Below are 26,418 nucleotides of genomic sequence, written 5' to 3' on the forward strand. Positions count from 1 at the left end.
GACATTCTTTTTTACGTGAAAAATATTGTTTTTATTCTTACATTTGTAGGTTTAATATTTCAAAGAGCATTAATAACAAAATTCTGAAATATTGTAAGTGAAATATAGTTTTTGTTTCTTTATTTACACAAGTTACTTTGATTCTCCTTTTACTCCCATTTCCTGGATATCTGAACCTTCAAGCTGAAAAAACACCAAAGTTATTTGTTTAGGAAGACAGAATTTTAAATAATCATGGTGGTTAAAAAAATAAAATGTTATTTTTCACTTTTCCCCATGAATGTTTCTTGAATTAAATGCAAGAAGTTAAAATGTGTTGCTGTGAATTAAAAGGAATTGAGCAAACTGTGAGATTTATAAAACAAGTGAGAACAGAAACTCATAATGCAGAAAAACTAAAACAAAAATCAAATTAAATAATGTCTGAGTCAAAGGAATTTAAAACGATACCTTAAAATGATCTAATGATTAATGCCACTTAGTATCAACATATTTTCTCTTTCTTATTTTTAGTGTTTAAAATCAATAAACAGACAGCATACACAGAATCTTTATTTGTTGTTTCTTTAACTTTCTGCTGAAACTCATTTAATTACTGATAACTCAGCAAATAGCATTTTTCTTTCTTTTCTACTTTATGTTTTCTATTTTGTGTCTGATTAAAGTCTGAGCCAAAGAAAGATATTAAAACTTAAATCATTCCATTTCATTTCATTTAAGATGCCCTAGTAAGACTTTCGTTCCAGTGAGGGCTGGGGGCGGGGGTGGGGGATGGGAGCTACAGAAAGAGGGAGAGAAGTTAAAATTGATAAACGCAATGAGATGTTTGGATTGGGTTACTCATGCTGTCTCCCATTACCTTGGAAAATTAGGAGTCTGACTTTATCATTCACCCATGTCTAGGAGATCTGGAACAGACATTAAGTTTGCTTTGTCATCTCTAAGAAGAATGGAAATTGTTCTCCTGTAGGCTGGCTCCAAGACCAGCCAGTCACTCAATCTAAGTGACTGAGAAATTCATGAATGTTTCTGGTGACTACATTTGGAATCCGATTTAGGAAAGCAGTGTCTTCTATCTCTCTCTCCATATACAGTCTATATTTACCTTCAACATGCTACCCTTTGAAATCCAACTGTGTAGACTCATGGATTGTGCTAGTACCCTGCCACACTCTCACCACCTTTAGGGGCTGACTCTGTCAATGCTTCTTCCCCGAGCCTGGATTTCCCACATCTGCCAAGTGCTGTTTCTAATCTTCTGATGTCTGGCCCCAGGCAAAACAAGCACAAGCGTAGGCATCAACTCTGGCCTTGCCAGGAAGTACATAAAAACTACTTGACTGTGGCCAAGTTAGAGAGATTCGGGCCAGGCCTTTGAGAATGATCAGTGTGACACAAGCATCACTGATGCAGAAAAACATAAAGGACACGCAGATGACAGAACAAATTTTGAACAAAAATATTCTGTCAACCTATAACATACATCAGATGTACCAGCCAGGAGTCTGATTCTTTAAAGGAAGAATTTCTCCAAGGCTGTATAAGCATATGTAACATCTAGACAGCTTTGTCGGTTTGTCTTCTGGAATTATAAAATCATGCGTATGAATTTTTTTTTTTTTTTTTTTTTTTTTTTTTTTTGAGACGGAGTCTTGCTCTGTCTCCCAGGCTGGAGTGCAGTGACGCGATCTCGGCTCACTGCAAGCTCCGCCTCCCAGGTTCACCCCATTCTCCTGCCTCAGCCTCCGGAGTAGCTGGGACTAAAGGGCCCGCCGCCACACCCGGCTAATTTTTTGTATTTTCAGTGGAGACAGGGTTTCACCGTGTTAGCCAGGATCCTCTCGATCTCCTGACCTCGTGACCCACCCGCCTCGGCCTCCCAAAGTGCTGGGATTACAGGCGTGAGCCATATGTATGATTTTGAACTCTGAGAACTTGGCATATAAAATATTAAGAGTAAGATAATGCAGGACATCCTATTAGTCTCAAAAATGACTGACTTTCTATTCATTTTGCAATTATAGAGCTTGTAGCTGAAAATTTATTATTACAATTTCATATTATTGATCATTTAATTCACTATAACATCCTGGTCAAAGCTTCAATACGATTCTCTCTGGCCTATGTATATAGCCTTCCTAGATCTTTATTTTACAATGCAAACAGTTGATGGAGTAAAACCAACTACCGATCTATTCCAGAAATCCTGTGAAATCTGTATATTTTCTGAGCCAGGAAAATCAATTATTTGTCTTTTCATTTTTCTAAGAAATACTAGAACATCACTGCAATATGCCTAGAACATTTTAAGAGAATCCAGTAATTATATTTTTATATGTAATAGTTGTATTACAACATAGAAAGGAAAGATCTTTACATAACTGAATAGTCACATAAAGTTAGCTGATGTGTAACGGAGTATAAAATATATTCTAGAATTTTGGTACTTGGGAAGTTGTGAATTTGCGTAGCCTTTTTCATTATACAGTTAATGCATTGCAATGTAAAGTAATGATTCCCTATACACTGAGGAGCTTCTCAGCGTTCTTTGCTGCAGAGAATTTTACTAACCTCCACAGTCATACTTTCCTTCTCTTAATGCCCTGATGACAGTGACATCTGAACAGTTTTTCACAAAGTCTGGACAAATGCTTCATTAATATTGATGCTATTTTATAAAAAGATGTCTCATTCAGGTTTATATGCACCCATTCTTTACTACCTTAATATAATCATTAGAATAAAAGTTGCTTTATTATAACAATGAAAACGACTGATAAGAGAGGCAGTCCCAGGAACTGTTAAAGAAAAAAATATCTTGATGGGTCTTTTTTTAATGCTTAAAATAACGTGATGAAAATTCAAGTTAAACCGAAACAGCTGGAACACAATCTAATTTCCTAAGTTATTTTTTCTAATATCTTTTTAAACATAATCCATTGCAGTCTTGGATTTCTTTACAACATAGAGGGCTTTTCACTAAACTATGTTTAGGGTCTTCTAGTCTTTTAAGTTATAATCACAAAGCAGCATAATTATCAGGCTTTCCTTGATTTTAAAATGAAATTTATGAAAAGTCCACATATATGATATTTTGAAAGTTATGAAATGTATTAACAGTACGGTATTTCAAAAATAAATACAAATTTCAAATATGCTTGGTAACTTGGAACTTTTAATTTGTCTTTGTTACTATATGTAGATTTTCGTTATGTGTGTGCATACACAGAAACACACATAGAGTAGAGAAAAATTATTCTTAGGAAATAATAAATTTTTTTTTTAAGTTTTAAAAAATGCCTCAAAGTTTGTATCCCCAAACCTTATAGTTATAACTATAAGGTTTATAGTTTAACTTAGTTAACCTTATAGTTAACTTGTATCTGAACAGCTGTGTGATACAATGCCTGACATTTAGGAAGTGCTGTATGTATGTGGTATTGACATGCATGTATTTATGTGAATCGTTTTCTTGTATTTTAGATATTTTTTTCTAAAACCCAAATATAGAAACAAACCAACTTTTATCATAATCTCTAGTTGTTTAGAATAAATAATTTAAATACATGGAAATTATGTTTATATTAGGGGCAATGATTCACAAACATTTTATGATCATGCTACAAAAAAGACACATTTGTCCTTGAGAATTTTTAAATGTCCTCAATTTTCTATATTCTTTGCCTTTTAACCAGTACTTATTTGGCTTCACAATTTAGCTGAACCAACTCAATATGGAAGATATGTACTAAAGTCAAGTTTATGAAGTTAATCTGTCTTACCTATAGATGGGTTTTATGCCTTTTATTTCATTTTATTCCAAGTGCATTCAATCAGATTCAATAGTAATTTATGATTTAGAGTAGAAATGCCTTCTATTTTCAGGCTTTTTCAAGATCTAGGTACACAAAAATGAGCTTATCATTTAATTTGAGAATCAGACTCATAGTTGGGCATCATGGTCTCTTAACTAAGTATTCCAATTAACCAAGAGAGACCCAATATTTTTAGAGAACAACTGTTAATGAAATAGATCAGTTCTTTGTCTCTTCCTCAAATCTGTCATTAAATATCTGGGGCATATTTTTAAACCTATATTGAAAGCTTGGAAGTATTTGTTAAAGAGTTTACATGAGTTGTTGTTCATGAACTACTGTCTAAAGAGTCAATATAGATTTTGCTATTATAAATTGTTTTATTACCAGACCGATTGTATGGAGTCCTTATTAGTATAGCATAGTATCTCCACATAGTTTGCCCTCCAAAATGTTTTTTTTTCATTAAGTATAGGATATAGTTTTAAAATTAAGAACTGTAAACATATTATTTTGATTTTCCATACTGGAGATAGGATTGGTATAAAATTATGAATTTCTTCCAACCTTCCATTTGGACTCTTTACTATTACTGAATTCTGTTTATTGTGAATGCAAAACATGGAATAATAAAATAGTCAAATTTCACACGACAGAGTCATAGGAAATGCCCTTCTCTCTCACTCCCCAAAAGACATATTCATTATAATGTTTATTATCCCCAGGCATGTTTCCCGAACATTTTTTAATTCTTTATTTATTCTCACAGTTATTGAGATCACGCAATATCTTGTCTTACATTTCTAAAACAGAAAAATATTTTTTCCATACTGGAATTGTTGGCTACCCTATTGATAACGGTGAAATGATAGATTGAAATAATCTGGCTATATTTCAAGAAGGAAACAAATATAGTCATTGGACTTATTGTAAGACCATCCAGCATATCTCTGGCTATTCATTTGAGATTAAACTGACATTACTGCATGTATAAGTATAGGCCTCAATTTTTATCCTATAAAAAGGTAAATGTTACAAAATGCTTCTTTTTAATAGTTGAGTTTCATGATTGGTCCCTGCACGTTGGTGGATGCTTTGACACATCAAGCTAGAAATTCCATTTCACAAAACAGAGCATTAAGTGTGTCCCACAATATTCTTTCTATTGATCTGGATTGTATGGGAATCTGACTAGTTTTTTTTTCTTTCTGCTGAGTAACTTTAGATACGTCATATTAACTTTTCTGTAAAGTACATTAATAGTGTCCTACAGAGTCATTAGATAATAAATAAGGAGAATATTAAAATGTAAATGCATGAAGCCACTGAAATGTGTCTTAATCTAACATAAAAACAAGTAGAAAGAAGTTATGTTTAGACTTTAATCAATATGGCTCAGGTGTATAGATATTAGGTACTTTCTATTTCAAATTCAAAATGCGAATCTTTTTTCCCCCAAGAAAAATGGTTTTGTTGGCAGTTCTCTTTGCATTGCAATTAAAATTCTTAAAGGCCAAGTCTTCTTAATGGCATTGAAAGAGTGAATTCATCTTTTTGACCTATGCCTTACTTTTGTGACCGGAATTATTTTTTTTTAGTTCACCTAATGAGAGTAATAAAAATCACACAGAAGGCGCATGGGAAATGTTTTTTGTTTTTGTTTCGATATAGTTATTTTTATTCTTAAAGCTTGTCTTTTATTTTGCAGTTACCTGTGGCAGATTCCATTAACTATTGTGGTAGGAAATAGAAGCCATGTGTCTTCAGAAGCAATTATTTGGGTGTCTAACAAATCAGGTAAACTATATATTCTCCCCTGAGGAAGTATCTGGTTTCAGATAATTGTTTAGCAACTTAACCTCTGGTTTCAGCTGTTATAAAATGTGAATAAAGACAAATTAGAAAGAGAATATAAAGGAATGATTATCAACCCTATAAAATTAGATATAGTATAGTTTCTAAATAGTCTAATTTCAGTTTATATAATTACTAAATTATTTGTTTCTTTAATGGTAAAGAGAAAACTTAAAAATAAGTGTAATACTAATCTTAGGTGTTTAAAATTGTATTTCTTTATAACTCCACATGTAATTAAAATATAATTATAACCTCAAAGAGAAGAGTGTGCCAAATACTGAAAACACAGGTCTCATTTTTACACTTTCCTATCTTCTCTTTACCAGACTGTCTCTTTAAAAGGTGAGAGAGGCAATATTCTCCATGGAATTATATAATTACAGGGCCAGAAGGTGGGGGGCTTGGACAGGTTAGCAAGCCATCTCTTAGGTGGGGTCAAACCTCAAGGAGCAGAGAGAGATGAGATTCTATTCTCTTTCTAAATATCTTCAAATAAGATAGTGACCTATTTCAATTTACTGTCAGAAAGCTATTTCTTGAATCCAAACTATAGCCTTCATTCTACAGTGTGAAACAGGTCCCTTTTATTTCTGTTTTCCACTGAGTTAGAGAAAAAGCCAATTATCATCTTTTATGTAACATTTCATTTAGATTTAGATAGTCAAGTGTGCCCAGATATTGTTTTTCTTACTCCTTCCTCAGATGCTGTTAATTGATGTTATTTTGCTCTCTCATAAGCCTTAGTTTAAAAAGCCACATATTTTTTATTTGAAATAGGGTGAGGTATAAATAAATAAACAAACACAGTTTCTTCTCCTCAGCCTTGCTATTATAAGGGAGGTTTACATGCTCAAAATACATATATGTATACATGCAAGAAAACGTTGTTACAGTAAAATCTAATCTGGTTGTCAGCAGTACGAACACTTACAGTTCCATGCAGATGTTTACATACATTTTCAGGTTATTGTATTTCTAACACATAAAGACATACGACGAAAACATATGCTTTTATTTATATACGCTGTATATGAAGCATTGATAAGTAATGTAGCAATGCATTGAAATACTTTAAAATTTGTTGGTGTTTTTTTCCTTTTAAATTGTTTATTATAATCTATTCTTTCAATTACTGGAATTAGTATTTATATTGTGATTCTGAATTCACACTTCCTGTATTATTTGATTTTGTATTTGTCTTTTCCTGTCATGTAGTTGTTTGTCTACATAAGTTGTTTGTGAAATGATGAGGGAGAGCAGTGAGTTGTTATAATGATCAAATTAGAAAGAAGTCATCGCTCTATAGGATTCCTGTGAGGTGTGATAGAACTATCTTCAGAAATAAGGTAGAATATTTTTCTTTGGAAGGTAGAATGGAAATGGGAAAATTAGAAGAGGGTAAAGATACTGATCAAACATGGGGATTAGCCCAAAACTTCACTTTTAGATAGTGCAAGGATTCAGGATGAGTAATTCTGGTGGATACCTTTCCGGGTCCATTTCTTCTAACTTCTTAGTTATTTCCATGCTGTTATGCATGATGTATTTTTATCTCTCACAGAATATCAAGAATAGTATCCCAGGCTGGGCGCTGTGGCTCATGCCTGTAATCCCAGCACTTTGGGAGGCTGAGGCAGGTGGATCACTTGAGATCAGGAGTTTGAGACCAGCCTGGCCAACATGATGAAACTCCATCTCTACTAAAAATACAGAAATTAGCTGGGCATGGTGGTGGGCACCTATAATCCCAGCTACTCGGTAGACTGAGGCAGGAGAATCGCTTGAACCCAGTAGGCGGAGGTTGCAGTGAGCCGAGATCGCGCTATGGCACTCCAGCCTGAGTGAGAGAGAGAGACTGTCTCAAAAAAAAAAAAAAAAAAAAAAAAAAAGAGTAGTATACCAGCTTTCCTTGACCAATAGCCACGGGTTATGTTTGAGGGATTGCTTTCCTTTACAGTCTTTCATTATTATTCAAGAATAAAACAATGTATTGGTTCAAACCATATGTTTGCCTAAAATATCACCTATCTTGATATGTGTGGTCCTAATATACAGCTGCAGCGTTTGCGCAGTAGATAACTGTAGGAGGCGCTATTTGCACAGGCGGTGATATGAATGGCACAGGCCCTCACCCCAAAGTTGTGTAAGGTGCGACTTGGACATTTTAATGAAAAAGGACACATTCATAGCACTATCTTCTGTTTGATATAACATTGCCACATTTAGAATGTTAAAACTTTTGCAGATTGCCCATACGAAGATAATGTTTCCTGAAAATTTTGTAAATACAAAAATCTGCAAAGTTTACAAGAGGCATCTAAAGGACTGAGCACTTTCCTGTTTTGCCTTTTCAGTTCCAGTTTAATTGTATTAAATTTTTTTTATGAAGTCCTTCGTTCTGATGACTAATAAAAATTTAACAGCAAACAAAAATTAGGAAAAAAAGATAAAAGATTGTTAATTTTTGTTTCCTTTTGTGTGTTGTCCCATCTCCTCTTTTTCAAGATATTGTCAACTAAATCACAATGAAAACTGTTTTTCCACAAAAACATGAAGAAAAAATTCTGTTAAATTCTTTTAAACATATGTAAAACAGTTCCATATTTAATTATAACAATCAGGTCAATGTTTTTGTAGTTTTTCATTGTCCTTAGTGATGCAGATTTTATCTACATGATATTAAGGCAGTCAGTGGTGGATAATATAAAGTACAAATTAGATTTGGATCGTCCTATATTCTTGTCAGTTCAATTTTTGAAAGTACTTTGGATAAATATTTAATTAATGCCAAGGTAAAGCATAGATCATTTTAGCCTAAAAATAATTTTTAAACCAATTTTTCAGTTTTAGAAAACAGGTTGAAGTGTTTATCTTTTTCATTCTTATTATGCAAATACCAAAAATTCAGACATTTGTAAATGTAGTAGCTTGCATGTTGACTGGCTATTCAATTAACGGTTCATGGAGAGGAATAAATGTAATGCCAAATGTTAGGAAAGAAAATATTAAAATAGAAGAGAAATTGATCCTGAAAATTAAAGCAAACATGAAAAGTAGCATAATGCAGTAGTGCTTTCTTGAAGCACTGGTTTATTTGAGATTCACAACCTTTCAAATGTGCATTATTTTGTCCCCATTTTACAAATGAGGAAATTAAGGCTTGAGAAGTAATTTGTCCAAAATATCAGTTGATTACGTAAAGAGGTGGCTTTAGAAAGTTGGCTTCCTTTGCTTCCTACCGTTCCCCTGACTCTGCAAACACACACACACACACACACACACACACACACACACACACACACGATTTATTGCTATGGTAGATTGCTTTACGGATCTGTCAGTTATTTAATATGATGTCTTTGATATGCACAGGATTCTTTATAGGTTTTACAAAATATCCTCATTTGATTTTCACAAAATTCGAGTGAGAAGACCAGTATGTATTATTTTCCCTGAGTTTGTCTCACATTTTTACTCTGGTTGACCTTTTTAAAAAATTTTTAAATTCCAATTCTTTGCAACCGGCAAATATTGCATAGAGATACCTAATCTCTTTTCCCTTTTTATTCCAACAGAAAGTAAAAAATATAAAATCTTATAAAATACCAACTACTCCGTACCTCAATAGTCTAAGCCTTGTGCCATTTTGGATACATTCTAAATATATTTTTTAATTATTATTGCCAGCATCAAGATATAACTTCCATACATTTTATTATGGTACTCATCAAATACCATACCTCATTAGGCCATTGGAAAAGATCTCTTTAAAATTCATTGCTTGCCATCATTTAATTTGAAGAACATTTTAGGGATATAATTAACTAGAACTGAAAAGATAGTTAAAAATCTATTACAAAAATTTTCAGGGAATCATTTCTCCAGCGATCTCGTTTGTAACAAAGGCATAAAAATATTCATGAACAGTAATAACCTTCAGGTTTTAGTAGTACATTTAATAATGACATACTTAAGAACAATAGAGGCCTGTCTTTCTTATTCTGGTCAGATGGTGTAGAAGGTACAGCAATTATTTTCCTATTTTAATATACATATTAACTTAAATTTGACTATATCATATCTATAAGTTGTTGAAATTAAGTTTAAAAACTAGATTCAAGCAAATCAAATGGGGCTAAGTTATTCTAGTTATCTAAAATGTGAACAGGAAATAACTTTAAAAATATAGTTACTGTTACAGGAATGCATGACCATTTCAAACTTGTAAAAATCCAAAGTATGTGTTTATATATTAAACTTGGTGCTTTAACATTATAACTTTTTGAAAAAAATAACACTTCTTAGATAAAATTTATCAACTTAGCTCAAGTGAATTCAAGTAGATTTTAAATATTTTGTGTTATAAAAATCTTAGTATACTTGAAGACACTTAGAGATTAATTAATTCTGCCTTCAAGGTTGCTAAGGTTTTTACAATAAAAAAGAAACAACATTCTCAATATTTAAGTTTCAATTTTCATTCACCGAATTCAGACATTATTAATTAAGATCTCTGTTTTGAGGTTATTTTAATTTTAAAGAATGGTATTTTCTCGTTTATTTATGTAGTCATTTTTACATCTTTAAAATAGATATGAAATTCTAAATTTTTGCAGCAATTGTTTGAATAAACACACTAAATTTTGAAAACTATACAATCATAGTTCTGGAGACTGGATAAATCATTTGCATTTTAGAAAAAATATCTGATGATTTATTTTTCTGAGTTCCATGGATTAAGTATAGTATATAAAAATAGTACATATAAATGTCTTCTTCCATTGAATCATAGATTTGGAAAGAACCTTAAGGGCCATTATTTGTCCCTCAGGTTACAAGTAAGGAAATTGAGGACCAAAGAGAATCAATAGCATAAATTTAAACACTTACGTATAGGAAAGCTGAGACAAGAATTTAGCTTTTCTTGTACTCTAGTACTCTTGTACTATAAAAGAATATAGTACTCTAATTCTTTTTCCAGTGCCATTTTCTCCCTTTCAAATCAACATTAGAATGTGAAAAATGTATATCATATTATAGTAAAAGTGTTATACCATCTTGTATCAATAGAATATAGCATAGTAAAAATTTGGACACTGAAGGCAGGAGATATAAGATGAACCACTTCCTTTCTTGGGTAATTCAATTAACCTGTCTGAGCCTTATTTCTTTATCTGTTCTAATAGACACAATTTATAAAGGTGGTGGGAAGTTGTGATATTAGAAATGATAAAGATTAAATTTTTATATTCAGTATACTTTGGGGTAGAAGTACATTCTATTTTACTGCAGATTTAAAAAAATTGATCATCTATAATATGCATTGGGTTTATTAGTTCACTTCATTCCAGACCTGAGAAATGAATGGTCATTTATGTCCACCCAATATGTTTTCTGGTATAAACTCTTCTTGTGTAGTCTCTACTTGAGAGAGAGTACTCTGTAAATGTATTCCTTCAAGGTAATGAGAGGGAAAATTTATTTTCTATTTTGAAGTCTGAATGTGTAAAAACTTTGACATTGGAGTAAGAACTAGAGATGTATCCCTACTCAGACCAGAAGCTTATGGTTTCTGTGATGCCTTTTATGGTTCTGAGTCATTGTAGAAATTAGAGGAGACCCATGTGGTTTTGATTTTTTTTCACCTGGATGTCAGACTATGTATGTCTGTGCGTATGTGTATACATTTAAAGTCAACTTCACTGTGTCAATTTTATGTAACATGAGACCTGAAAATCAACAACATAATTATTAGAACTGTGAACTGTGTTTCCATGGAGTCAATAAAGGCTACATGTGCAGTGAATAGTGTCCTCGCTCTGTACTATTTTTGAAGGAGTTAAATATGTAAGAAGTTATAATATTGTTTTTACTTTTTATTGGCTTCTGTTAATTGAATTAGCTGGTGAGGATAATCAAATTACCATTTTCCAAAGTGATCCCAATAAGCAGAATTTATTATCTTTGTTTCTAATTCTATATGGAAATATTAAAATCTTGAACAAGTAAGATTTATTTTACTAGCATTATTGATGATGTTGAAAAGTCTGTTATTTATTAGTTCTCTCAAGAAAGCACAAGAAAAAGGCAAACAACAGTGACTTTCAAGTAAATGAGCTCTATTGTTTTAATATTTTCTTACTGAATCAAATTAGTAGAATATGCATCTAAAACCTCTTCTTTCATTCTAGTGTCATATCCCCATACGATCTAATTAGAAGTTGCCTGAATACAGTGGTAGATTTCTAGGTTACAGTTACTTTGAGAAAGAAAATTATGTATAAGTAATGGGGTTTTGTCAAGAACAAAAATGCTAATTATAAGAAAACAATTAATTGAGATGATAGTGAGTAACCAATTAAAAGTTTTTCTAGCAAATTCTAGATGCAAGTGATTAATTAAAGAGTAGGCTTCAATTAGGTATTTAAGATGACATTCACTTAATTATTGGTATTGTTATATCTGGCGTTAAGAAAACATACTTCATTTCATTTTAACTCTTAAAGTTTGAAATCTATCCCAAAAATGCTTTTTTCAGAGCACCACAGAATAACTTATTTGGACAAAGGAAGCTGGCTGCTGGGGAACATCAATCAAACTGGCTATTTTAGAGTCAACTATGACCTAAGGAACTGGAGATTATTAATTGATCAATTAATCCGGAATCATGAGGTACACTCCAGATTTGCTTATCAAAGATAATTTTTGGTATGTGAACACCTACCATTTTAATCCTAAATTATCCTATTATTTTTTCTAATTGGCCTCAGGTTCTTTCTGTCAGTAACCGAGCGGGCTTGATCGATGATGCCTTCAGCCTAGCCAGGTATGTTTTCCTGTGGATCTCCCCAATAAAAACTTGTGCCTGCAAGACTTCCTGTATTAAACTGCATAATATGTATATGTCTTTTATTTAGGACATTTAAAAAAATCTATTTCTATCTTATGTTCTTTGACTTTGGATATGAGTTCTAATTAGTCTCCCAAACTTTCTATCAATAATAGCTATAGGGTATTTCTAAGTCAGGATAAGCTTGATGAATTTCACCACAAGGTCGATTTAACACTGAAGATTAATAGTCTCTTCCCAAATTCATTAATGAACTCTATAAAGTGACCATTGGGCCATATTTAAGTTCTGATAGAAATTACCTTGAAGCATTGGCAATTTTTCCCTGATGTATACTAGTATATCTTTTAAAAATGTTTTTGAATGTTATTCATTCTAAGAAGCTTATGCTGCAAAACAGAATTAAATATTCCACTGGGTAAGACCGTTCTTGACAAAATATATATCAATCTTGTAGAAGACTTTAGTTGTACTATAGTAATATTTGTGTTATTTTAATAATTAGATTTATAATATTCAAATTAGTTATTCCTTTGAATAGTCATTAAATGAAATGTTGCTCATAAACTGAAGCTATTTGCTCAATTTTGAGACTAAAATGTAAAACAAACTCAGTCCCTTTAATATTTCATACTGTTTCACAGCCAAGTACAGTTTTAATTTTAAAAATCAAATTATACAAGCTGTCAATTAAGACAGGTGACTCTCTTTACTTACCTGGTTATCATGATTTACCACATTTTCTTCTAAGATAATCAGGGGAAACTGGTTAGTTAGTAGTGCTGATATTAACACATGACTTATTTTAGTAATAGGCTTTTTTTCATGGGACCTGAAACTGCTTTTACAGTTTATGTATTCAATCAAAATTCAATTCTCTTCCATATGTTAAAAAGCATATTACACACTACAGGATTCTAATCCATCAAAATAATAAGCTTACACATAGAAGACTTGATAATTACTTTGATAGAAGCAAAGCCAAAGTTTGGGATCAAATTACAGAGATTGATTTTTGTAGAAACAAGCAATATAGAGGGGACAACATAAATATATAGAGGGTAAAGGAAAAAATTTCAGGTGCTTTTCTATTTAAAAAAATACTCTGACTTTTGCCTCCCTTATTGCTACTAAAGAAATAAAAAACATTGCTAATATTTTTCTTATTTGGTGAGTGATGCTGTATCAGTGCCTCATTCTGACCAGGCATGTACAATTTTAGGCACATATTTGCCTAATAATTGAATGGCAAATCTAAGGACAACTTATCAACAACGTGGAAATTGCTAATGAAATTGTACCAATTAATGTATTTGTGTAATAAGAACTGGGGTTCAGTTCTAGTAAAGATAAACGAAGGCTTTTCCATGCCATAGCACCATCTTATTGGGCAAAAATTTAGAAATAATAGAGCTACATAAAGGCCTGCTGAATCATGTGTGGAGATAATGATTAATATGTGGCTTTTGCTCTGCAGTAAAATCTGAAGTCTTTGTAGAAAGTTTTATGTACGAAAGAAAGATTATTTTGGCACAGAAGTTTAGAGAGTCCAGCAAGCCAGAAGGATAATGTATTTAATGTGATAATGTACTGAAAGAGAAGCAGAAAAAGAGAGAGTGAGGTGTTGAGTACCACAAAGAAAGGGTAAGGAACTCAAAGAAAGCTGTTTTCATTAGCTAAGAATTATTTAGCACTTTTAAGGAGCCAAATGCTTTTCTATTTTATATATAGTAATTTGTTTAATTTTCACAACTTTATAAGATATGTAGATAGATATTATTACTATTCCCACTCTAAGTGTGAGGAAATGGAAGCTCAGAGAGGTCACACAGCTGATAATTGGGAGAGCCACAGCCTGGATCCAGGTGGTCTGTCTTCAGAGCCTCTGCCATTAACCAGAGCGCTAAGCTGCTTCTTAGAAGTAATAGTATTTATTGTAATAAAAGAGCCAGAGGATATAGAAGGACTGAGGGGTTTCGAGGCAGTCGTTCATGTGAATCGTTACGGGTTTGAAATGATGGTGAGAAAGCAAGTAAGTAGTGATAGCCTAATGACAGAGGCCAGATGGAAATTAAAAGGAAGGGATCTGTTGACTCATCTGCATTAAATGATATAAGTTATTTTTAGATGAAATATTTTATTTAATTTTAGTGGATAAATTTCTTTTTCAAAAATTAGGTTTCTTCTTCCCTAAGACAGAACATTGCTTTCAATTCCAATTTTGCATGCTTTCAATTACAATTTTGGGAGCCTTAAAAGTTGAAGTAAATAATTTCATGATCATTTGTATAAATTCACCAGAAAAACATGGAATCTCATTGAATATATATTTATAATTTGTTTTATTGCTCAAGAGATAATTTTTCTATTACAGTAAGAGTAAATAAATACAAATTTAGATTCATTTAGGCAAATTCTCTGGTCTTACTTGGAGTTAAGGATTATTCATATTTCATTGTAGTATTGTAAATATTCCATAGTTTTGCTGTTCAGTCTATATCAACCTTCTCTCAATCTCCTAAACACATCGTGCACTCTTTGGCTTCTTTAAAGATAACACATAAAAGAATAGCAAATATTTATTAAATACTTATGCTCCAGGTACTGTTCTGATGCTTTTATGAATGATCTCCATCAGTCTTCTCAATGAACCAGTGGAGTGGGTGTGGTTACTTGTTGACATTTTATAGCTGAGGCATTGAGATTAAGAGAGGTTAAGTTGCTTAGGTAAGGCGGCACAGCTTTTGGAGCAGGGGTGGAGGAAGTAGTTCAACCCCAAAGAGTGACACAGCAGAGTCCATGACCTCAAGTAAGAGTGACTTCGCCCATTACATGAAATTTCTTGCTATCCTCATTCCCCTTGACTGTTGAGATTATTATCATACATTGAAAAAATGTATGATTTTACTCACCCTCCCTCATTGAGGACTTATCTGTCCTTCCCAGCAAAAGTAAGGTGATATTCTATGGATCTGTGTTACAGCAATTATCACCTTATTGCTCAACCACTTACTTTTCTGGTTTCCTGATAGTTCTTCAATGATGTGGAGGAGAAGCCTTTGTGTCATCCGTTTATTACTGCTGTCTACCCTAATGTTTGCTACAGGATTGTGCCCGTGTATATTTGTTACTTGAATTGATAAAGTAATTGTTAATTATTTAGACTATTAACTTTATGCCACGACTTGTTGTGAGATTAAGCAAACTTGCTCTAGTCATTCTTTATTTGGTTGTTTTTTAAATATATAAATTTGCCTGAATGCATTCTAATTGTAAAGGACTAAAACAAAACAAGAGATACAATATGAAATCTTCTTTTACTCCCTTCATTCCCTGCCATTTTATCCTGCTCACAGGTAAAATATTTGGCATGTATTTATCTAGCCATTTTTTCTTTACACTTTCTTACTGTTTAGTGTTTTTTTTTTTTTTATGAACAGAAAGTCTATTCTCTGACTCATTTATAAAAATAAATCTGGGGATCTTTTTATTGTTTCTAATTTTTCACTATTAGAATCAAGATTGCAATGAGTGTCCATGAGGAGTCTTTTGTTGTGTATGTGTATTTTTTTAAGATTTACTTTTGTAAGTTGAATTTGGGGTATGACTTTTTAAATAAATATTAGAAATTATATTCTGAAGCCTTTTCCAATTTAACCCTCCATCAACCATGTGTGAGCGGGCCCAATTTCCTCAAATCCTGCATTATAATGAATGGTATATATTTTTTAAACTTTTGACAGTCTAGTGGCAAAAGTGATTTTATAAAAGTTATTCATTACTGGTTAAAAAGAAGTTGTGCATCCTTTCATATACATTTGCTGTTTGTATGTTTTCTTCTGTGAATTATCACCAAATTAAAAACAAAAGATTAAAAACCTAATAGAAAATGAGCAAAGGTATTTCCTACTATTCTTTCCTATATATTTTGCATGTTTTTGGATATTAATCCTTTTTTGTAGCATACACTTTACAGTAGTTTTCACTCAACACTATGCTAATTATTTTTAAGCTTTGTGGTGGTTATCATTCAGAGGTTTTTAATATATATGTCAAGGCATTCCTTTTATAGCTTTCTGGTTCTGTCTCACATAGGGCTTCCCTGTCTGAAGATTTTGAAATATTCTATTTTTCTTAAGAGATTGTTTTTGTTTTACATCTGTCTCTTCAACCCTTCCTTCTCTGATCAATTTTTATGTTTAGAATGAAGTAAAGGTCTAATTTTCTTTAACTTTAATAAGTGCCAATTATTTCAATCCTACTTATTTAAAGGTTTTAATTTTTGTGGATTTGAAATGATATCTTTATCCTAATGCAAATGCCCATATTTTAGAGATTTTTTTTATTTTGCCTAACTGCTCTCTTTGTTCTTTTTTGCACCATCATATTGTTTTAATAGGTTTAGATTTATTGTATGTTGCAGTTGCCCAAATTTTATCTTGTTCTTATTCAGAATCTTACATATTTCCATTCAATATAAATTTTAGAGTCATTTTGACAAACTCTACTAAAAAATCACACTACAGTTATGACTAGATATGCATTAGATTTATAAATCAATTTGTACAGTATTAACATCTTTTCAAATTTGAGTTTTCCAGCGATAATGTTATTTGTCTTCATTTATTCAGGTCCCAAAGTTAAGCCCTATGGTTTTATGTACACGGGTTCTGGTAATATTGTGTTATTTCCTCATTTTTGAAAAGGTATATGCTGCTTTACAGTCTGGCACTGTTTTCACACTTATATATTATAAATTTCAATGCTTGCAGTTAGGTAATCAATTAATTGCCTTGCAAGTTCTATTGTATTATGGCTTGCACTTTAAAATTAGTAACTAAAATGCCTAGATATTTGTGTTGTTGGGTGTTTGTATTTGTTTTTTGTTTTTTGAGATGGAGTTTCACTCTTGTTACCCAGGCCGGAGTGCAATGGCATGATCTTGTCTCACTGCAACCTCTGCCTCCTGGGTTGAAGTGATTCCCCTGCCTCAGCCTCCTGAGTAGCTGGGATTACAGGCACCCACCACCATACCTAGCTAGTTTTGTATTTTTATTAAAGACAGGGTTTCACCACGTTGGTCAGGCTAGTCTTGAACTGCTGACCTCAGGTGATCCACCCACCTTGGCCTCCCAAAGGGCTGGGATTACAGGCGTGAGCCACAGTGCCTTGCCTGTTTTTGTTTTTTGTTTGTTTGTTTGTTTCGATAAAGCATGGTTATATTGGGGGATATAAAAGTGAACAAGATGCATTTCTTATTTTCAGTGAACTCACAATCTAGCAGGGAAGATGCATGGTACGTAACTCACTATATTCAGTATATACATTCTATGAATAAAATGTTATGAAAGCATTAAGGAGTAAAGAATTAGTGTGGCCTAGGAAGATTATGGAAAACATCAAAATATCCTATAGGAAATACCATCGGGAGAGTGAAAGTTTACTATGGGAATACATTAAATGCTTAAAAGTAAGAGAATGAAAGCAAAAAAAAAAGTATAAACTAGAGAATAAACGTATGGCAGAACTATTACAGCAGCAATGCCTCATGGCACAATTTGGATAAAGCAGAGATTTGAGATTTCTCTGGAGTGGAATTGGCAGCCAGATAAGGTGAAAATTCTTACTTAATTGTTGAAATTATTTATCAGTTATTATATGATAGAAACTAAATATTTAAAAGATTTGCAATAGAAAATATAATCAACGGGTTGGGTATTTAAAGCTTTTAACATGCTCTGAGTACAATTTTTTAAAGTTATAAATGTGCATATCACTGGGTTGTGAATTCACATGGCATTATTTGAAAATATCCAAAATACATGAAAATTATTTGGAAAATTGTGTATACCCAAAAGCATCACAGGGTTAAATCATGATCATCATTATCATCATCATCATAAATATCATCATAGTCCTCCTTGCCCTGGGCAGTTACTATGTTAACTTTAAAAATTTAGTCACCAGTTTCCTGGAATATTCAATTTTGCAAAACACGTGCATATCTATTGTGTTTTTAATATCATAACATACTTTTTAAGCATGTGTAACATTTTTAAAATTCTGTTATAGACTACTCTGTTAAAAAATCCAGTCGTTTACAAATTTTCCCATGATGAGGGCAAATTATTTTTAGTTCACAAACTTTGTTAAGAAATAAGACGTTACTTTTTTGTAAATTATTAGTGTTTTATTAAAAAGCATAAGGACCTGTGTCTAGAGATTATGTTTGTCCCTCTTAGAAGTGCTGTAGGCACCGGGCGCAGTGGCTCACACCTGTAATCCCAGCATTTTGGGAGGCCGAGGTGGGCAGATCACGAGGTCAGGAGATCAAGACCATCCTGGCTAACATGGTGAAACCCCATCTCTACTAAAAATACAAAAAATTAGCCGGGCAAGGTGGCAGGCGCCTGTAGTTCCAGCTACTCGGGAGGCTGAGGCAGGAGAATTGCTTGAACCCAGGAGGCGGAACTTGTAGTGAGCCAAGATGGTGCCACTGCACTCCAGCCTGGGCGACAGAGCGAGACTCCGTCTCAAAAAAAAAAAAAAAAAAAAAAAAAGTGCTGTAGGCACTAGAGAGCAGTCATCAGTAGTGCATAATATATGTTTGATGAATATATAAGTTAAAAAATAATACGCTTTTATTTACTTGTCTAACAGCTTATACATTTGAGATATATTAGAAGCCTGGGAATTCAGCATAATAGCCACTGAAAATATAATGGCTAAAGAAGAAGAAAATTATGAGAACATTTCAAAAACTTACAGATTTTTTTTTTCATTTCTGAGCCTGGTTTCAGAAATGGAAACAGCATTGTTAAAATAACCTTAACAACATTTGCAAACTGTGGAAGTAATTTGCTCCTTTTGGGACATTTTTCGGCATGGCTTTTGTTAGAAGTTTTTTTGTGTCTTCTGGATGGCTCTCTTGTACCTCGTTTAAGGTTTCTCTTGCAAAACATATGTTGATCATTTTTTCACTTATTGCAGTAAATAGTAGTATAATGTGCCTGAAAAGCAAGTGCACCCTGACCCTGGCTAGATGAGTAGCAGTTTTTCCTGCTTTGATAGCTGGTTGTTTAAATGTGTAATGTGCTAACGTTTCAAAAATGAAATTGAGAAGGAATTATAAACCTTTTGTGAGAAATACTTTGGCAGACTGGACTTTTTGTTTTGATTTCCTCACTCTATAATGGAGATAACAGGACTACATCACTTCAACTGAAAACTGCCATGAAAAACCTGATTAAGGATCCTAGATCCCTCTAATATCCTGCCTAATGCTTTATAACTGTTGATTTTATGAAGGATGCTTCGTTTCAAAATTATTTATTTAATCCCTATCTTTTTCTGTTTTTACAGTACTATACAAATCTCAGTATAAACATTTTTCTTTTAGTTGTGTTTTACAATGAAATTATGAGCATTATTAATAATAATAGAACATTGATTTGAATGTATTGTTTATTGCTGTCATTGGACATGGAGAGAAGGATGACTCTTCAGCTGTTTGTATTAGATTCATTTGAGAGTGGCGTCCATGTATGGTTATAGCTCTTAGTTATCTTTTGTTAAACCACCAGAATATGTGTGCAAAAGGATAAATATTAAATGATTATGAAGTCCTGAAAGTTATAAAATTATTTATTGCAAACTACGATTTATTGTTGACTATATGCTTCCACTCTTCTGCCATTGACCAAAAGTTATTAAAATTAGCTTGTTGTTATCCTCTCAGCCTTTCTAACCGGTATAAGTTGTTCCATGATATGAGCAGTGTCTCACAGTGAATCGTTCCAGGAGCTTCATGGCCATTCCCAAAAGATCACATTTCTCACATCTCTGAGGTTGGGGATTCTAATTATCTATTTGTCATCATCAGTGAAGGCTCAGTCTTGAGACATGCAAAAAAAGTCACCTTGAAGCATTCCTGTTTTATACCTTTCTGCATGCAATTATTTAAAAATTCATATCCAAAACACCTCTAAATTAGTCAGTTTATGCAACACTTTGCCACAGATAAATGTTAAAAATAGTCTGAAAACATTTTCAGGACATTTAACTGTAACAAGCTGGGAATCTTTAGACTTATTTCTATTATAACTCAGTAAAAGCCTAGAGTATATTTCTGGATTTTCAAGCTACACTGTTTCTGCAGGAATATGCTGGTTTGCTCAAGGTTAGAGATTGAGTTAATACATTCCTTTGAGCTGTCTTTAGAAATCTGTTGAGGGTGGAGTCACAGATGTTGTCCTTGGGATGAGGATTTATGAGGAGCTACTATACCAGGTACTTATGAGAAGTACAAATCTCCTGAGGCATTAAGGGCAGGCTTGTGGCTCTAAAGGATGACAAACTTTTTTTTTTTTTTTTTTTTTTTTTTTGAGACGGAGTCTCGCTGTCGCCCAGGCTGGAGTGCAGTGGCGCAATCTCGGCTCACTGCAGGCTCCGCCCCCTGGGGTTCACGCCATTCTCCTGCCTCAGCCTCCGGAGTAGCTGGGACTACAAGGATGACAAACTTTCTTAGAGACTTTTAGATTGTGCTGCATTAAATCAAAAGCAAATTTGTAACCTTCCAGTACCAAATTTGTGTTTCATCTCTATAGTAGAAAATGTTTTAATATTAATGCCTACTGTCTGAGAGTGCTGAGTAGAAAGTAAAAGCAAAGTATTTTGACATTATTCTGTAGGTTTGGTCCATTTTATTTTTTTTCAATTGACATAATATTTTATGTATTTATCATATACAACATGAAGTTTTGAAGTATATGTATGTTGTGAAATGGTTCAGTATTGCTAATTCTTGTGTGCATGATCTTACATTATTTTTGTGATGAGAACACAACATTCACTCTCTTAGCATTTTTCAAGAATACAATATATTGTCATTAACTATAGTCATCAAGCTGTACAATGGATCTCTTGAAATTATTCCTTTAATATAACTATAATTTTGAATCCTTTGGCCAATATCTTCCCAGATCTTTTTCCTCCAACAACCCTAGCCTCTGGCAACCACTGTTCTAGTCTCTATTTCTATGAGATCATCTTTTTTAGATTCCACATATAAGTGAGATTATGTGGTATTTTCCCTTCTGTGCCTGGCTTATTTCACTTAACATAATGTCCTCCAGGTTCATCCATGTTGTCACAAATGAGAGGATTTCCTTTTTTATGGGTAAATAGTGTTCCATTTTGTGTATATACCACATTTTCTTTATCAGTTCATCCATTGATAGAAACTTAGGTTAATTCCATATTTGGCTATTGTGAATAACTTTGCTGCAATAAATATGAAAGTGCAGATATCTCTTTGACAGAAACAGTACTCTAAAAATATCATATTGTCCCTATATTCTCCTAATAAGCATATAGCCAAAGTAGAGCCTTTGTGTTGGGAAAATCTTATCTTTTTGTCACTATTTTTATCATCTTCTGAGGGAAGCTCTGCCTCTGCCTGGTGCCTGCCATTTAACTGACTACTATTATCTGCACATGCCTGAACATGACCAGTGTATACCATGGCTGTTGGCAACCATTTGCTTGAAATTGCTTAGCTAGTATGGGACTATAGCCTCTACAAGTCATTTTATGTCTGTTTCTTCATATCATTTTTAATTTTATTAAAATTTATATGTTGATCATTTCTGTATTCTAGAAATTCATTTCGTCTTTTCTCTTTCTTCTTTGTCTTACATTTTAAACACTAATCTAAGTCTGTATAATTTGATTTCCTTTCCCGATTGGTAAGATCATTGGCTATCAGGTTACATAGAGTTGGAATTCTTGCTCTATGAAATAACTGACAATAAATAAATGTTATTTTTGTTCGGTCCCTTTCCTACATTCACAACACGTACTTATGGTCACTCCACAGTAAATAGACATCATTGTTATTTCCTCTATACTACCTTACAATCCACCATATTCATTGATCTTCTGAACCGACCCCTTTCCTAGGCTGCGCCAAACCATCTGTAAACACACATCCTAATGCCTACTCTAAGAGGAAGTAGAATATGACTAAAGCATACCTGGTTTTGCTTCTACTAAAGAGGACAGAAACTACTTGCTTTTTGATTTGTTGTAAGAAGTCTGACAGGGACTCAGCCAAAATGGGACATTCTATTCTACCAGAAAAGAAAATGAGAGTTTTGAGGTAGACAAAGACTACTGAAAAATTAAACTGAATCCTTCTGGCATTTGTCCTGTCAATGTAAAAGCCTCATTTTTATAAAGATCTCTATCTACTCTGTTTCTCAAACAACTCAAAATAAAAATCCTCTTATTCTTATTATGATTAGTTAAACTCTAAAGAAATTTTTAAAATGAGGAATATATGAATACAGGTACTAATACAGGCTTTATGTTTGGGTAATTACTTATTGCTTTAAGTTGTCTCATTACGATCTTTTCCCACCTCAGAACAAAGAGTCAGAGGAGCCTTCTGATAATCATCTTTCTTACTAAACATGCTGATTAGCCAATGATAAAGTAAAGAGCTGCTCATATTTTTTATCCCAGAACTCATGAAATCTATTTTTGGCTTCAACTGTAGGCAAGGTAGCAATGCTATCATGATAAGAATAAGATAATAGAAAATAAGCATTTTACATTATTTTACACTAGTCATAAATATAAAAGATTCCATTTTTAACTATGAAAAGGTGATAATTTGGGGAAGAAGATAAAGGAAATCTAGTTCTAAGATTTTGTGCAATGAAGTGAGTGGTTAATTTGAAGTAACATACACTTTGTTTATGTGGGAAATCGTAAAGCCTTAGGAGGAGATTTGAAATACATGATGTTCTCTCTTAATTGCATGCAATTTGAGCTATTCCTTGTGGAATGCTTCTAATATCCTTATGTGGAGTGGAGTATCATTGAAGAGGCCTTCACTATTTTGGATGTAAGAAAACATCAGATTAGGAAAATCTGACTTGTTGCAACTATGTCAACGCTTGCTTAATGTTAAAGATGTGAGTACAGGCCAACACAGAAGCTAAGAAGTAGTTCTGGGCCCTGTGAACTCAGATCACATTTGAATCACAGATTAGATTCTTCCTTCCTAAACTAGGAATGGCCTGGAGTGCAGTTGATTCACGCCTCTAACGGGAGGTAGCAGAGGTTTCCTGTTGCTCAGCTGCTTCATCTAATTAGGGTGAGGATTAAACAGAAATTCAGTATAAACTCTCCAGGACACCAGGTGGTCATGCTAACCAAAATGAAAAAAAAAAAAAAAGAGTTTGCAATAAGGAAGAAAATATTGTTAGTCTAGAAGTCTGTGTTTGACAAATTCAAGTAAGGCTAATAGGCCCTGAAGAGAATAATGATTGAATATCAGAATTTTATGTGGATGCTAACTTAAACACACTCTAAATTAGAGGGCAGTTATTGGGAATGCTGTCAAAAATGCCAAAATAAAAAAGAACTATAGATGAAAATTAGTTGGTGTTGCATTCCCAGTGTGCAAATATAAAAAAGTTAATTGTGTAAGCTGAGGGCAGATCATGAATTTTATCCATGACATGTTGAGGGAAATATTACTTATCCTTTTTCAACTGATAGTGAAACTACAATTATTCACAGAAAAATAGTTACTGTGCAGAGCAATTAAGTCTCTGGCCTCCCAGTTTACTGTAGTTTTTAAATTTTCATCTTTGTAGAGTTTCCCAGTTTCCTATTTCCCTTTATTTTAAAATGTTTTTGAATTCTGTTGAATTTTAACATTGGTAGATTATCAGTTTTTTTAAGTATGGAGAGTTGAGAAATGCTTAGGAAAATTTTTGTTTCAACAGATGCAATACGTAGGTTATTTCAATAAATTAGGTATACAGCGTAGACATTAATGAATTTGTAGATAGATGATAGATTGGTAGTTACGTAGATAGATTAGATAGATAGATGATAGGCAGATGAATTATCTGAAAGTAAGTAGATCTAAAAGTAGATGGATAACAAAGATAGAGCCATAACACTTCATGCTATGGTGAAATCACTATATTTAGCCTCAGAAAGACATCTTTTTTATGGTGTCATATTAAAAAAATTATACAGAATTTTAAAATTAAAGGATTGCAGCTCATATGTAGTTAAAATGAATTCAAGTGATTTTCTTGGTGGAATAAAGATATTACTGAGAGATAAGTATTTTATACACATGAATTATATACTAAATAGCTATCACATGTAACATAAGTTACAAGTGTTTGATGCAGAAATTTTAAAATATTCACCTACTTCAAAGATATGGTAAACTAAATGTAAGGCAGAAATATGTTCTTAATTTGTTGGTCTGTTTTTTAAATTTTAAAATTTTAAAAACACATAAAAGCTTATAGGAAAATCTTTCAATATTTAGTTACCAGGTTTGTATGTGCTATCATCATTCGATACCTATTTCTCATTGCAAACAAGTCAGTTTCTGAAGTGTATATCCACAATATTAAATGAACTATATGTTCCCCTTATCCTGTACTGGTAAGCGATCAGCAAGCATCTTTCACGGACAAAATAAAGATCGTAAGAAGCATGAGAAGCACTTCACAATGCTTATAGTGCATTGACCTTTCTTATTTTAATTTTTGATGCTTGTTAGTAAGAATAATTAACAAATGGCAAATTCTGTAATACAAAGTTAGTCAGTATTATCTTTCTGTTATTTAATAGCTTTGTACATTTGGAAAAGAGTTATTTTAAATATGGTGGTCAGGGAAGCCCTCATTTTCCAGTTGATACTTGAGAAGTAGTTTGAAAGAAGTAAATAAGGGAACCATCTGAGTAGAGCATTCCAGAGGAACAGCAAGTGCAAAGGCCCTGAGGGAGCATGTGCTTGGCATGTTTAAGAAAAAGAGATAGGTAGATGTGGCTCTAATGGAGTAAGTAAGGAGCATTGCAGGCTGAATGTGTTTAGGCAGGAAAAGGACATTGATCATGTAATAAACTATTGTGAGAATTTGCAGTTTTTTTCAGAGTAAAAGGTAAAGCATATGGGAGGGTTTTGAGCAGAAGAGTGACATGACCAGGCCTGTGTTTTTAAAGGATCACTGACTCTGTCTGCTCTGTTAAGAATATACTATGAGGGAATGAGTGTGGAAGCAGGGAGCCTAGTTAGAAAGGTCATGAGGACAAACTCCATAAAGACTGTTGTTGAAGATGATACTATGGCTATTTACCTGGTGTATTAGTCCATTCTCATGCTGCTATGAAGAAATGCCTGAGACTGGGTAACTTATAAAGGAAAGAGATTTAATTGACTCAAAGTTCTGCATGGCTGGGATGACCTCAGGAAACTTACAATCATGGTGGAAAGGGAAGCAAACATGTCCTTCTTCACAAGGTGGTAGGAAAAGGAAGTGGAAAGCAAAGAGGGAAAAACCCCTTTTAAAACCATCAGATCTCCTGAGAACTCACTATCACAAGAACAACATGAGGGTAACCACCCTCATTATTCAATTACCTCGCACTAGGTTTCTCCCACACGTGGGGATCATGCGAACTACAAGGTGAGATTCGGGTGGGGACACAGCAAAACGATATCACCTGGTAAGGATCAAGAGATGCCCAGAGCACCCTGGTAGCCTCTGGAGTGACAGAGGTTCACATATCATAGTTGAGATGCATGCAGATGTTTTCCTTTAAACATCAGTCATTATGTTGGGTGAATAATATATTTTCTTATGATCGATCTGATTTGTATTTCTCTGATGACCAATGATGTTGAGACTCTTTTCATATGCTCATTTGCTTTTCTTTTTTTCTTTCTATTGCACTTTTATTTTTTTCTTACACTTTAAGTTCTGGGATACATGTGCAGAACATGCAGGTTTGTTACATAGGTATACATGTGCCATGGTGGTTTGCTGCACCCATCAACCCATCATCTAGGTTTTAAGC

General features: G+C 33.1%; 1 protein-coding gene across 5 annotated transcripts in view; it reads left to right on the forward strand.

Annotated features, from left to right (window-relative positions):
• The window catches only part of TRHDE (thyrotropin releasing hormone degrading enzyme), a 583,493-nt gene that overhangs the window by 475,779 nt on the left and 81,296 nt on the right, over positions 1 to 26,418 (forward strand). For 4 of the 5 annotated variants that reach the window (XM_017019244.2, NM_013381.3, XM_017019243.3 and 1 more), the window contains 3 exons: positions 5,524 to 5,612; positions 12,211 to 12,344; positions 12,443 to 12,498. In XM_017019244.2, the coding sequence (XP_016874733.1) occupies positions 5,524 to 5,612; positions 12,211 to 12,344; positions 12,443 to 12,498 (279 nt within the window). Of the gene's footprint in view, positions 1 to 5,523; positions 5,613 to 12,210; positions 12,345 to 12,442; positions 12,499 to 19,182; positions 25,770 to 26,418 lie in introns of those variants that run through there. The other variant, XM_005268819.6, reaches the window with a different exon arrangement.

This window comes from Homo sapiens, chromosome 12 (assembly GCF_000001405.40).
Source record: "Homo sapiens chromosome 12, GRCh38.p14 Primary Assembly".
Classification (NCBI taxonomy): Eukaryota; Metazoa; Chordata; class Mammalia; order Primates; family Hominidae; genus Homo; species Homo sapiens.